The sequence below is a fragment of the Homo sapiens genome, chromosome 16 (genome assembly GCF_000001405.40).
Source record: "Homo sapiens chromosome 16, GRCh38.p14 Primary Assembly".
NCBI classification, from domain to species: Eukaryota; Metazoa; Chordata; class Mammalia; order Primates; family Hominidae; genus Homo; species Homo sapiens.
In genome coordinates, this window is record NC_000016.10 from 81,258,137 (window position 1) to 81,271,749 (window position 13,613).

General features: G+C 47.7%; 1 protein-coding gene across 7 annotated transcripts in view; it reads left to right on the top strand.

Annotated features, from left to right (window-relative positions):
• BCO1 (beta-carotene oxygenase 1) overlaps nucleotides 1-13,613 on the top strand; it is a 52,454-nt gene that overhangs the window by 19,448 nt on the left and 19,393 nt on the right. For 5 of the 7 annotated variants that reach the window (NM_017429.3, XM_017023287.3, XM_017023286.3 and 2 more), the window contains exons 3-7: nucleotides 1,540-1,669; nucleotides 4,000-4,147; nucleotides 6,504-6,651; nucleotides 9,772-9,995; nucleotides 12,023-12,280. In NM_017429.3, coding sequence (NP_059125.2) covers nucleotides 1,540-1,669; nucleotides 4,000-4,147; nucleotides 6,504-6,651; nucleotides 9,772-9,995; nucleotides 12,023-12,280 — 908 coding nt within the window. Of the gene's footprint in view, nucleotides 1-1,539; nucleotides 1,670-3,999; nucleotides 4,148-6,503; nucleotides 6,652-9,771; nucleotides 9,996-12,022; nucleotides 12,281-13,613 lie in introns of those variants that run through there. The other 2 variants (XM_047434214.1, XM_017023289.2) reach the window with 2 other exon arrangements.

Below are 13,613 nucleotides of genomic sequence, written 5' to 3' on the forward strand. Positions count from 1 at the left end.
AGCCCTGTGGACACCTTGATTTTAGCTCTGTAATCCCCATTTCAGACTTTCTTCCAAACTCTGAGATAATGACTGTATGTTGTGTGAAGCCACTAAGTGAGGGGTAAGTCGTTACAGCAGCCGTAGAAAACTAACACGGGTCTAGAACCATCTGGTATATTTTGAGGTTGGTCTCAATGGACTGGTCAAGAGATTTATGCCATGAGTTAGACTCTCTGCAGAATTTGGATGAATTAGACATTGAACACAGGTCTGACCCTCTATTGCTATGCAGGATTGGGCATCAGGTCACCTCCTGGTTGTGTTCAATATCAAACGTTACTCCAGGGAGACTGAAGTGATCAACTGGGCTTCTGGAGGCAGCGCTCCCAGGACTGAACGGGGCCCTGGGGAAAACCACCCCACATATGCAGCCTTCTAGATTAGTCCTCCAGCTCTGCTCCTTCCCTGGAGGGACACAAACAGGGTGGAAGGGATGACTGATTCTGGTCAGCACTCTCAGATGGGTGACCCTGGGCAAGGTGAAAGAATGTTTCTGAGCCTGAGTTCCTTCCTATGGAAAATGGAGCTAAGAACAGACATATTTTGCATTGACATATTTTGCATTATCACATTTTGCATTGCTATAAAGGAATACCCAAGACCGGGTAATTTATAAAGAAAAGAGGTTTATTTGGCTCACGGTTCTGCAGGCTGTACAGGAAGCAAGCCACCAGCATCTGTTTGGTTTCTGGCGAGGGCCTCAAAAAGCTTTGGCTCATGGCAGAAGGCAAAGGGGGAGCAGGCATGTCACATGGTGAAAGAGAGAGAGAGAGAGGAGGGAGGGATCTTTTAAACAACCAGATGTTGCATGAACTAATAGAGTGAGAACTCACTCATCACCAGAACAACACTAAGCCATTCATGAGGGACCCACCCCCATCACCCAGACACCTCCTCCTAGGCCCACCTGCAACATCACAGGCTTCAACATGAGATTTGCAAGGAACAAAACATTCAAACCGTAACACATACTTATCCAGCCATACTGTTGTGAGTCAGGAGTGAGAAAATGTGTGTCTAAAATTATATTCCAGGCCGGGCATGGTGGCTCACGCTTGTAATTTCAGCACTTTGGGAGGCTGAGGCGGGTGGATCACCTGAGGTCAGGAGTTCAAGACTAGCCTGGCCAACGTGGTGAAACCCCATCTCTACTAAAAATACAAAAATTTGCTGGTCGTGGTGGCGCATGCCTATAATCCTAGCCACTCAGGAGGCTGAGTCAGGAGAATCACTTGAACCCAGGAGGCGGAGGTTGCAGTGAGCCGAGATCGCACCATTATATTCCAGCCTGGGCAACAAGAGCAAAACTCAAAAAAATAATAATAATAAATAAAATTATATTTAAAATGCGAATTGTATCGGCCCTGTGTACTAAAGGAGCTTGTCCTAGTGAAATAACCACCTTCTTCTCCCAGTAAAACCCATACAAGGACTGACATTGATTTTAAAGCCCTGTGAAGGCGTCAGCCTGAGATTATGCTGGTTCTTCTCTTGCAGGTGAAGTCTATTACAGGAGCAAATACCTGAGAAGCGATACCTACAACACCAATATTGAGGCAAACAGGATTGTGGTGTCTGAGTTTGGAACAATGGCCTATCCGGACCCCTGCAAAAACATATTTTCCAAGTAACTGCCTATTTTAAATCTGAGCAAATTTCATGCTTTTTGCTATCCTTGATGGCTGAAATAACCAGCATTTGCTCCTCTGACAATTCTCTTTAGGGTAGATGAAAACTCCACATGACTGCCCTTTAACCAGAGGTGCTACACAGTTCTTGATCACTGATTGCCAGAGAGACTAAGAGCATTTGACAAATTATTAGAAGCCCTCCCACATGGCTGGTGGGAAAGCGATTTGGAATCATCTGTCAAAATTATAAATGCGTATTCCCTTCAGCCTAGAGATCTGCTTACTTGCATAGAAAATGACACATGCACCAGGTATTTGTCATTTATGGCTGCATCATTTGTTATAACAAGTAGCTGAAAACAACCCAAATGTTCATTAAAAGAGGACTGGTTAAATCCGTAACAGTAAAACTGTACGAGAAAATGCCATGTAGAAGTAAAAAGGAATGAGGATGTTCTCTTTGCACTCTACAGAAGCTTTTCCAAGATAGACTAAGTGGAAAAAAAAAAAAAAAGGAAGGTGTAGAAAGAGCATGTTATAAGCTGTACTTTGTGTGAAAAAGCAGTAAGAAATCTAAATTAAATTTTGCTTGTACATGCATAAAGAAACTAGGAAAGGATGCACAGGGGCAGATGGATGTTGAGGAGAGGGAGAGATTTTTTGCTGTATATATTTTATTTCATTTCATTTCATTTTATTCATTTATTTATTTATTTAAGATGGAGTTTCACTCTTCTTGTCCAAGCTGGAGTGCAATGGCGCAATCTCAGTTCACCGCAACCTCTGCCCCCCAGGTTCAAGTGATTCTCCTGCCTCAGCCTCCCAAGTAGCTGGGATTACAGGCACCCACCACCACGCCCGGCTAATTTTTATATTTTCAGTAGAGACGGGGTTTCACCATGTTGATCAGGCTGGTCTTGAACTCCTGATCTTAGGTGATCCACCCACCTTGGCATCCCAAAGTGCTAGGATTACAGGCATGAGCCACTGCGCCTGGCCACTGTATACATTTTAAATCATCTGGATTAGTATCCATATGAATGTGTTACATATCTGACAGTTAAATTCTTGGCCAGGGAATCAGGCCTGCCATCAGTATCTTCTTTCTGAAACTCTCTAGATGTAGAAGAGTTATGAAAGAGTTGAAGGGTGGACTGGCCCAGAGATGGAAGATTGCTTCTGCTTTTTTGAGAACTGAAGTCATCTCTCCCATTCCAGTATCCAGCTCTAGGGCTAGCTCAGAGCAAGCACTGAATTCACATTTGCAAATAGGAGGTGTGGAGTAGGAGCCAGTGAGAAAGGAGGAGGAAAGAGCAAAGGAATTTAAAACCACCATACTTACCTGGTAGGGGAGATAGCAGGATCACGAATTTGAAACCACGACCTGGAGGTCCTGGAACCAAGCCTCCTTTTTGTTCCAGTGTTTGCCAGTAGGAGGAGCACTCCCCAATACACCGATACAGGATTTGCCAATTTCATCACCCATAAACCCCTCTGGTTTTTCTTTCTTCTTGCTTTGAGTATACCTTCTGATCAAATGAGCTATGTGTTCTTAACTCATAATTAGTTTGTTTTCCTTTTTAAATTAAAAACTAATTTCCTGGATAAATTCGAGATAACCAGTGTGGACTCACATTCCTGGCAAAGCAGATATCAGCTACGTTGTTAGGCTTTGGGAGCCGTTACGGGTTCATATACGATTTCCGTAGAGCTTCTTGACATACTTTGGAACAGTATGTCTTGCTGGCTCTGATGTTAGAGACCTTTGGGTTTTGGGGAGCCCAGGAGGATCAGCTGGTGACCATGGCATTCCGGCCGACTCATTTCTTAGCTAACTCAACGTGGAGGTGTCTTTGGGGTGTCTGAGTTCTTAGGATTCCTCAGGTGACCCATTGGGACCCAGTTGCTTTTTCTTCCTTAGTTGAAGTAAAGCATTTTTTTTTTTTCTTTGAGACAGAGTCTCGCTCTTTCGCCCAGGCTGGAGTGTAGTGGCGCCATCTCGGTTCACTGCAAGCTCCGCCTCCCGGGTTCACGCCATTCTCCTGCCTCAGCCTCCCGAGTAGCTGGGACTACAGGCGCCTGCCACCACGCCCGGCTGATTTTTTGTATTTTTTAGTACAGACGGGGTTTCACCGTGTTGGCCAGGATGGTCTCAATCTCCTGACCTCGTGATCCACCTGCCTCGGCCTCCCACAGTGCTGGGATTACAGGCACCCGGCCGAAGTAAAGCATTTTTAAGTGGTAGGAAAACTAAAGCCATCAAGGATAGACTTCTCTGGCTGGGTGGACATAGCCACTGACTCTGTTGATTTGCTTTTCTCCCCAGAGCTTTCTCCTACTTGTCTCACACCATCCCCGATTTCACCGACAACTGCCTGATCAACATCATGAAGTGCGGAGAAGACTTCTACGCGACCTCAGAGACCAATTACATCAGGAAAATCAACCCACAGACTCTGGAAACCCTGGAGAAGGTATCAACACATATGTAACCAGCATCACTTCCTGACTCAAGAAAGGGAGAGTCGGCGACGGCCGGGGTGAGGTTGCTCAGCCTGCAAGCAGCTTACCAGGGGAGCCCCTCCTCTAACACCGTTGGATCCCGTGCCCTAGCGCCACACTTACTGCTAGATGCTAGGCAGGGACTGTGTTGTTTTTATCTTCGTGTCTGTATCAGTTTCCTGGGGCTGATGTAACCAAGTCCTACAAAAAAGATTGCTTTAAACAACAGAAATTGGCTGGGTGTGGTGACCTACACCTGTAATTCCAGCACTTTGGGAGGTCAAGGTGGGCAGATCACCTGAGGTCAGGAGTTTGAGACCAGCCTGGCCAACATGGTGAAACCCCATCTCTACCAAAAATACAAAAATTAGCCAGGCGTGGTGGCATGTGCCTGTAATCCCAGCTACTCTGAGGCTGAGGCAGGAGAATCGCTTGAACTCAGGAGGGGGAGGTTGCAGTGAGCCCAGATTGCACCACTGCACTCCAGCCTGCATGACAGAGTGAGACTCTGTCTCAAACAAAAACAAAAAAAAAAAAAAAAAAAACAAGACAAACAAATAAAAAAACAGAAATTTACTCTCTCACAGTTCTGGAGGTTAAAAGTCTGAAACCAAGGTGTCAGCCCGGCCATGCTCTCTCTGAAGACTCTAGAGGAGGGTCCTCCCTGGCCCCTTCCTGGCTTCTAGCGGTTGCCGGCAACCCCTGGTGTTCCTCAGCTTGTAGATGCATCCCTCCAGCCTCTGCCTCAGTCTTCACACTGCCTCTCCTTATGGGGCTATGTGTCCAAATGTTCTGCCTTTTTTTTTTTTTTTTTTTTGAAAAAGTGTCTTGCTCTGTCGCCCAGACTGGAGTGCAGTGGTGCGATCTCAGCTCACTGCAACCTCCGCCTCCTGGGTTCAAGCGATTCTTCTGCCTCAGCCTCCTGAGTAGCTGGGACTACAGGCACGTGCCACCACACTTCACTAATTTTTTGTATTTTTGGTACAGATGGGGTTTCACCGTGTTAGCCAGGCTGGTCTTGATCTCCTGACCTCATGATTGGCCCTCATGATTACAGGCGTGAGCCATTGCACCCAACCATGTTCTGCCTTTTATAGAGACACAAGTCATTGCATTAGGGCCCACCCCAGTGCAGTATGACCTCATCTTAACTTAATGACATCTATAAAGACCTTATTTCCAAGTAAGGTCACATTCACAGGTACCCAAGGTGAGGACTTCAACCTATCTTTTTTGCAAGACACAATTCAACCCATAACTCTGTTCATAATTCTTGGCACTGAGGGAGTTCACTGAGAATTTGAATGAATGACTGTTGAAATGCCTGCGATTCTCAGCAATCCTACCTTCTATTGACCTGAAGAGGGAGGCATTAGGCAAAAAGCTAGGGCACAAAAATCAGTGCCCAAGCACATACCTTTCCTGGGAAGAATCAAGTCAACATTTTGGTGGGAATCAATAGACCCACTTTCAATTTTCTCCAGCTGGCTGTTCAAAATTCCGATGTCTCTGCAATACGTTTTAACGATCTGTTAAAGAGATGAGGCTTTTCTTAGCTGTGAAATTATGTCCAGCTCCTTTTAAGCTAGACGGCATCGGTCCAACTGATGATGCTTTCCACAGGGCTACAGAGAGGAAATGCTGGAAGAGAAAGGAGTTATCTGACTCTGGGCTGGAGGTTGTGTTTTTCTAGGGGAGGAAGCGCAGACGGTTGGTCTGCGGCCACTCCATCATTCTGCAGCTGTGGACTGCAGAGTGAGGGTCATTATTCAGCTCGTTGATCAAACTTCACTTTGACCAAATGTTTTTGTAACCTCTCCATTCCCAGAATAATCGTCTAAGAGAGGCCTAGAGATTTATGCTTCTGTGCAATGCAAAAGGGCAGAATTTAAGCCAGAATGACAGAACTGTGGCCAAGATTAGCTCGAAGGCTACCTCTCTGCCCAGGTCATTGCTCAGAGCTTTCTGCAGTGAGGAATCTTGTTTCCATGTTGAGGATTCCAGCAAGGTCAGGCAACAGGATTGGAACGATAGCCACAGAAGCACACCAGCTCCCTAACTCCCCTGCAACCTATTAGCTGTCTGAGTCCCTCAAATCCCCATGTGAGGTTGTATAAGGTCACAAGAGTGAAAGTCTTCTTTAAAAGCAAATTCTGTATCGTTTTCAGATCAACAGAGTGCAAAAATATCCCTCATCTCTCTGAACCTAGAATCAGTCACGTTTTCATAGGACTTCAACCTTTCTCCTTTGAAAAACCAGATGATGTCATATCTTGCAGGTTGATTATCGTAAATACTTTAAAAAACAGGAGGTGTCATATCTTGCAGGTTGATTATCGTAAATACGTGGCGGTAAATCTGGCAACGTCACATCCCCATTATGATGAGGCTGGAAATGTTCTAAACATGGGCACATCCATTGTGGAAAAGGGGAAGACAAAGTATGTGATTTTTAAGATCCCTGCCACAGTACCAGGTAGGCCACTCTGGGGAATTGAATAAAACACAAACAACCAAGTGTGGCTTCTTCTGAAGAGTTCTGTTTTTCGTTGATGACACAAGATCCAGTGTGGTACTTTCTCCCGTAGATTATTGAGGTGGACCATGAAGTCAGTACTTTCCTTTAGAAGAGAAGAGGAGATGCTGGGATTCCTCTTGGAAGAAAGAAATCCCTTTACTATTCTAATTTCCTTTTATTTAGGCTCCAGTTTATTATTTTATTAATTTATCTACCCATCTACCATCCATCCATCCATCATCTATTTACCATCCAACCATTCCTTCATCTACCATCCATCCATTCATGCATCTACTCACCGTCCATCTATCCACCATTCATTCAGCTACTCACTATCCATCCACCCACCTACCCACCATTCATCCACCTATCCATCACCCATCCACCATCCGTCCACCCATCCACCTATCCACCCCTTATCTAGCCAGCCACTCACCATCCATCCATTCATCCATTCACCCACCTACCCATCCACCCACACACCATCCCTCCATCCATCCATCTACCCACTATCCATCTACCCACCCATCCACCCATCCACCCACCATGAATCCATTCAACCATCTACCCATTCTCCCATCCATCCACCCATCCACCATCCATCCATTCATCCATCCACCCACCACCCATCCACCATCTATCTACCCACCCACCCGCCCACCCATCATGAATCCATTTATCCATCTACCCATTCTCCCATCCATCAACCCATTCACTTACCCACCATCCATCCATCCATTGAGCTTCCCACCCACCCATCCATCCATCATTCATCCATCCATCCACCCACCCATCCACCATCCATCCATTCATCCATCCACCCACACACCATCTACCCATCCATCCGTCCACCCACCATCCATCCACCATCCATCTACCTACCCATCCACCCACCCACCATGAATCCATTCATCCATCTACATGTTCTGCCATCCATCCACTCATCCACTTATCCACCATCCATCCATTGAGCCACCCACCTGCCCATCCATCCATCATTCATCCATCTACCCACCATCTATACACCCACCATTCATCCATCTATCCATCTACCATCCATCCATCCACCCACCCAACATCCATCTACCATGTGCATCTACCACCCATCTATTCACTCACCATCCTTCCATCCACCATCTATCCATCCACCCACCATCCATCTGTCTACTATCCACCGATTCATGCATGCACCCACCCACCCACCTATCGATTCATCCTTCCATCCATTCAGTTTTTCAGTCTCCTGACAAAACTTTCTATGACAAGGTTATGCCACCTACTTTCATTCCTAGCCCCTGCAGCCAAGTTTCCAGGGCTGTTTAGGGAGCTCAGTCCTGCTGGGATCCACTCCAGATCCCTGCCCTGTTCTCCAGGCCTTCTGGACCTTCTCCATGTGGGGCTGGGATCTTGGAGCAAAGCCCAGGCTGACTGTGATTGCATGATCCTGAGGGGGAGGAGGCGGAGGCTCTTAGCCCATGTTTGTCCAGGACCCTCCTGGGAACCACACCCAGGAGACCTAGGCCTGTGAGGACAGCTGACAGGACTCAGGAGACAGTGCAGAACTACAACGGTGCTTCCTCTGACCTTCTAGTTTAAAAAAAACTAGTTTCTGCCTGTGATCCTTGCTGCTCCCCCATCCCCCACTGTCTTGTAGAGCCCCCTGAGCAAACTACCAGGCACTGCCTGGAGATATGAGCCTTCGAGGTCAGAAGGTACACGGAGTGTACTTGCTAAATAGAACTCTCATTAATTAAGCCAGTAAAGGGATATAGGGGTCAAGCTCAGAATCCTAGAATGCCATACCTGGGGATTGTCTAGGCATTTGAGTTTGCCACCTTGTATTACAGAGGAGGACTGTGAGGCTCAGGGGATCAGATGACACACCCCAGTCACACAGCTCCCAGGAGCCACTGACATCCTGCAAGCAGAGATCCTCTGAGCACCTGCTCCATGCTGGCGGTGGCACTGCGACTCATGCCCCATCCTGCTCCTCCCAGGCCACAGTGCTTTTCGTTTCAGTTTGCATTGTGTTCCATTTGTTTTATAAAGACGATAACTATCCCACAACCCCACAGCATCCCTCCCACCAGCCAGCTGTTTACAGGGTGCACAGGTGGCCACAAGAGAGGTGGGGAAGTTTGCAGATAACTCATTATAAGCCAGCCGTAGGCCTGGGTGGGGAGGCCTTTTGACCAGCGAGTGACTCATGCTTGCAGAGGAATAAGAAAACTGAACACGTATTGAGCACCTTCCATGTTTGGGTGCAGGGCGAGGCACATGGATGACTGCTTTATTTCATTCTGTTCTCTACCTTCACTGTATGAGAGTCGTAATCCCTGATAAAAGAGGAGGAAGGCGAAGGGGGCTGTGTTTTCTTGGCTTAACCCTATGACTCTGACCATAATGATAGCCCATTCCACTAAGCCTCAGTTTCCCATCTATAAAATGGCCATTCTACAGCCCCGCTTGACTATCTGCATTTATATAAAACCCCTAATTATGGCCGGGCGCAGTGGCTCACACCTGTAATCCCAGCACTTTGGGAGGCCGAGGCGGGCAGATCACCTGAGGTCAGGAGTTCGAGAACAGCCTGGCCAACATGGCAAAACCCCATCTCTACTAAAAATGCAAAAATTAGCCAAGCATGGTGGCGTGAGCCTATTGTACCAGCTACTCGGGAGGCTGAGGCAGGAGAATTGCTTGAACCTGGGAGGCGGAGATTGAAGTGGGCTGAGATCGTGCCCCTACATTCCAGTCTGGGCAGCAGAGGGAGACTCTATCTCAGACAAACCGGTGGAGGCAGGATTTAGCCCCCAGGCTATAGGTGAAGACCCCTTACCTGGAGGGCTCCCTCTTGGTTCAGTGGTTTTCAGATTGTATATGGGGTGGGTGCTGAGTGGAAGGTCTCAGCCTGGCCCCCTGCAGCAGCTGCAGCAACCTTGTTGTCTGTCTACACGTTGCTGTTTAATGTAAAGGTTTTTTTCAGCAATCAAGTCAGTTTGTAGGTGATGGTGGTGTGGTCTTGGGGGGGCAGCCAGATCCTGCACAATTCCTGAGGCTTGCTTTTTGTCTTGCTAGAGGGCAAGAAGCAGGGGAAGAGCCCCTGGAAGCACACAGAGGTGTTCTGCTCCATCCCATCCCGCTCCCTGCTCTCCCCAAGCTACTACCACAGCTTTGGAGTCACCGAGAACTATGTCATCTTCCTTGAGCAGCCTTTCAGGTTGGATATTCTCAAGATGGCAACCGCATACATCCGGAGAATGAGCTGGGCCTCCTGCCTGGCTTTCCACAGGGAGGAGAAGGTGAGGTCTGGCTGGACTCTAGCCCAGTGGGTGCTGGCTGACCATGGAGGGAGGCTGGTGTGCAGGAGGGTGAAGTTTAAGGCAAGGAAGTGGCATGGAAGAGGGAGGAGGCTACCAGAGGCATCTACCCACCTTCCAGCAAGTTCTGAAGCTGGATGGTCCTTCAGAATGGCCCCCAGGCCTTTGTACCCCCACGGTGATGAGTTATTGGATGAGGCTGTCCAGGCAAGGGGGTGCCATCTTGGGCAAACATGGAAGCCCTGGCAGTCCCCATATGCCCAGCAGCAAAAGGAGTGAGTCCTCAGTCCTTATGGAGAGCTGGGCTCCTCCCCACCTCCGCCCTGTTGACAAGACCCCTTAACCATGTCTGCTACCAGTGTGTAGCGTTGGGGCGGTAGCGGCCAGAGGTTTAGACATTGTAATGACAGTATGTTCCACCAGACAGTTCAATAGAAACCTCTCCTTCCATTCAGGTACACCTGAGTGCTCAAAGTATGTATGCACGTATTGCATGCTTGTATATGCACATATGCATGTATATGTGTACATGTATATGTGCATGTATGTGCATATGTGTATGAATACATGTACGTGTGCATGGGTGTATGTATGTATTACTAGTGTTTATTTACTTGTTGGGTTTTTATTGTGGGGGGGTTGTTTTTGAGACAGAGTGTTGCTCTGTCACCCAGGCTGGAGTGCACTGGTACAATCACAGCTCAGTGCACCCTCAACCTCCCAGGCTCAAGTGATCCTCCCAAGTAGCTGGAACCAGAGGCACATGTCTCTATGCCTGGCTAATTTTTTGTTGTTTTGTAGAGATTGGGGTCTTGCTATGTTGCCCAGGCTAGCCTCAAACTCTGGACTCAAGTGATCCTCCTCCCTTCCCCTCCCAAAGTACTGGGATTACATGTGTGAGCCATTGCACCTGGTCTTTTTTTTTTTTTTTTTTTTTTTGCGTTGTCACTTCACTTTTGTAAAATATCCAGTAGTTCTCAGTGTTACCTATTCAAAGAATATACAAGTATAGAAAGCCATGTATAAAATCCTCCCCAACTCACTTCCCCCCTCCTGCCTCCCATCCACCCCCACGTCTGAAGGGAGCCACTGCTACCCACTGACACTGTGTTACTCCACCATCTCTGCCTTCACGTGCACTTTTAGTTTTTCTTTTTTTTTTTTTTCAGATAGAGTCTCACTCTGTCACCCAGGCTGGAGCGCAGTGGTGCGATATCAGTTCACTGTAACCTCCGCCTACGTATCAAGCTATTCTCCTCTCTCAGCCTCCTGAGTAGTTGGGATTATAGGCACACGCCACAATGCCTAGTGAATTTATTTATTTATTTATTTTTTGAGATGGAGTTCCATGCTTGTCGCCTAGGCTGGAATGCAATGGCACATTCTTGGCTCACTGCACCCTCCACCTCCTGGGTTCAAGCGATTCTCCTGCCTCCACCTCCTGAGTAGTTGGGATTACAGGCAAGTGCCACCATGCCTGGCTAATTTTTTGTATTTTTAGTAGAGATGGGGTTTTGCCATGTTGGCCAGGCTAGTCTTGAACTCCTGACCTCAAGTGATCCACCTGCCCGGCCTCCCAAAGTGCTGGGATTACAGCATGAGCCACTGTGCCCTGCCAAGGCTCCAGTCTTAGATGGAGCCTGGCACCTGGCAGATTCTCCCCAACTTGGTCATTGCCAGGGAGCTGGGATGTCAGGACAATGGAACAAGGGGACCGTGCACACTGGAGCGTCTCTCCAAACACTGTCCTCCTAGTGACTGCAAAGACTCTGGCAGCAAAGCATCCCTCCTCTCCATCTGAAAGATATACTTATGGAAGTACAATAAACAGCTCTCATTTTGGGGGGCACTTTTGCCTGTCTGGTGTTGTGGAGCACACACAGAATGCAGAATGGGGACATAGTCCTGAGCCTAGCTCCTGGCGGGGCTGGGTTTTGTTCAGCCCCCAGATGCCACAGTGCCAGGCTGAGAGAGGGTGAGCTGAGCCCTTGATATGTGTCCTTTTTCAGACTTATATCCACATCATCGACCAAAGGACCAGGCAGCCTGTGCAGACCAAGTTTTACACAGACGCCATGGTGGTCTTCCATCACGTCAACGCCTACGAAGAGGACGGCTGCATCGTGTTTGACGTCATTGCCTACGAGGACAACAGCCTCTACCAGCTCTTCTACCTGGCCAACCTGAACCAGGACTTCAAGGAGAACTCCAGGCTCACCTCGGTCCCCACCCTCAGGAGGTTTGCCGTGCCCCTCCACGTGGACAAGGTAATGGCTTCCAAGGAGGTCCCTTTTCTTTCTAGAGAGATATCGGCCCAGGTGGGAAGTTACTTTGGCCCTTATTTGATTGACATTGAAATCCAAATGAACTGTTCTTGAAAAAAAAAAAAGTTTTCATTGTTTTTCCCAAAGTAGTACCGATTCATAATAAAAACTTTAGAAAATATAGATAAGTAAAAAGGAGAAAAAAATCCCTATAAACCTACCACCGAAGATGATCACTGTGGATATATATGTTTGTCTCCCAGTCTCTCTCTCTGTGTCTGTGTGTGTGTGTGTGTGTGTGTGTGTGAATCTTCATTTTAATCATATTGTACATAATTTTTTTTTTTTTGAGACGTAGTCTCGCTCTGTCACCCAGGCTGGAGTGCAGTGTTGCGATCTCTGCTCGCTGCAAGCTCCACCTCCCAGGCTCACGCCATTCTCCTGCCTCAGCCTCTGGAGTAGCTGGGACTACAGGTGCCCGCCACCATGCCCAGAGAATTTTTTGTATTTTTAGTAGAGACGGGGTTTCACCGTGTTAGCCAGGATGGTCTGGATCTCCCGACCTCGTGATCCACCCGCCTCGGCCTCCCAAAGTGCTGGGATTACAGGCGTGAGCCACTGCACCTGGCTGTCTTACATAATTTTTAACAGCTTTATTGAGATGTAATTGACACAGCATACAATTTGCCCTTTTATTTATTTTTTTTTTTATTTTTTTTGAGACAGAGTCTTGCTCTGTCACCCAGGCTGGAGTGCAGTGCCATGATCTAAGCTCACTGCAACCTCTGCCTCCTGGATTCAAGCGGTTCTCCTGCCTCGGCCTCTCAAGTACCTGGGATTACAGGCGCCTGCCACCACGCCCAGCTAATTTTTGTATTTTTAGAAAAGACGGGGTTTCACCATGTTGCTCAGGCTGTTCTCGAACTCCTGACCTCAGGTGATCCACCCACCTTGGCCTCCCAAAGAGCTGAGATTACAGGCGTGAGCCACCATGCCTGGCCTAATTTGCCCATTTAAAGTGTTTGACAGCCTTTGGTATGTTTTCACAGTTGTGCATCCACCACCACGATAAATTTTAGAACATTTTCATCACCTCCAAAACACACCCCACACCCCTTAGCCATCACCTCCTAGTCTTCCCCTCCCTGCCCCAGGCAACCTGTCATCTGCTCTCTGTCTCTGCAGACTTGCCCTTTCTAGACATCACGTATAAATGGAGTCTTACAATACGTGATCTTTTGTGTCCGGCTCCTTTCACACAGCACAGTGTTGTCAAGGCTCATCTGTGTTGTAGTCCGTATAAGTGCTTCATTTCTTTTTGTTGTTGTTGTTGGTT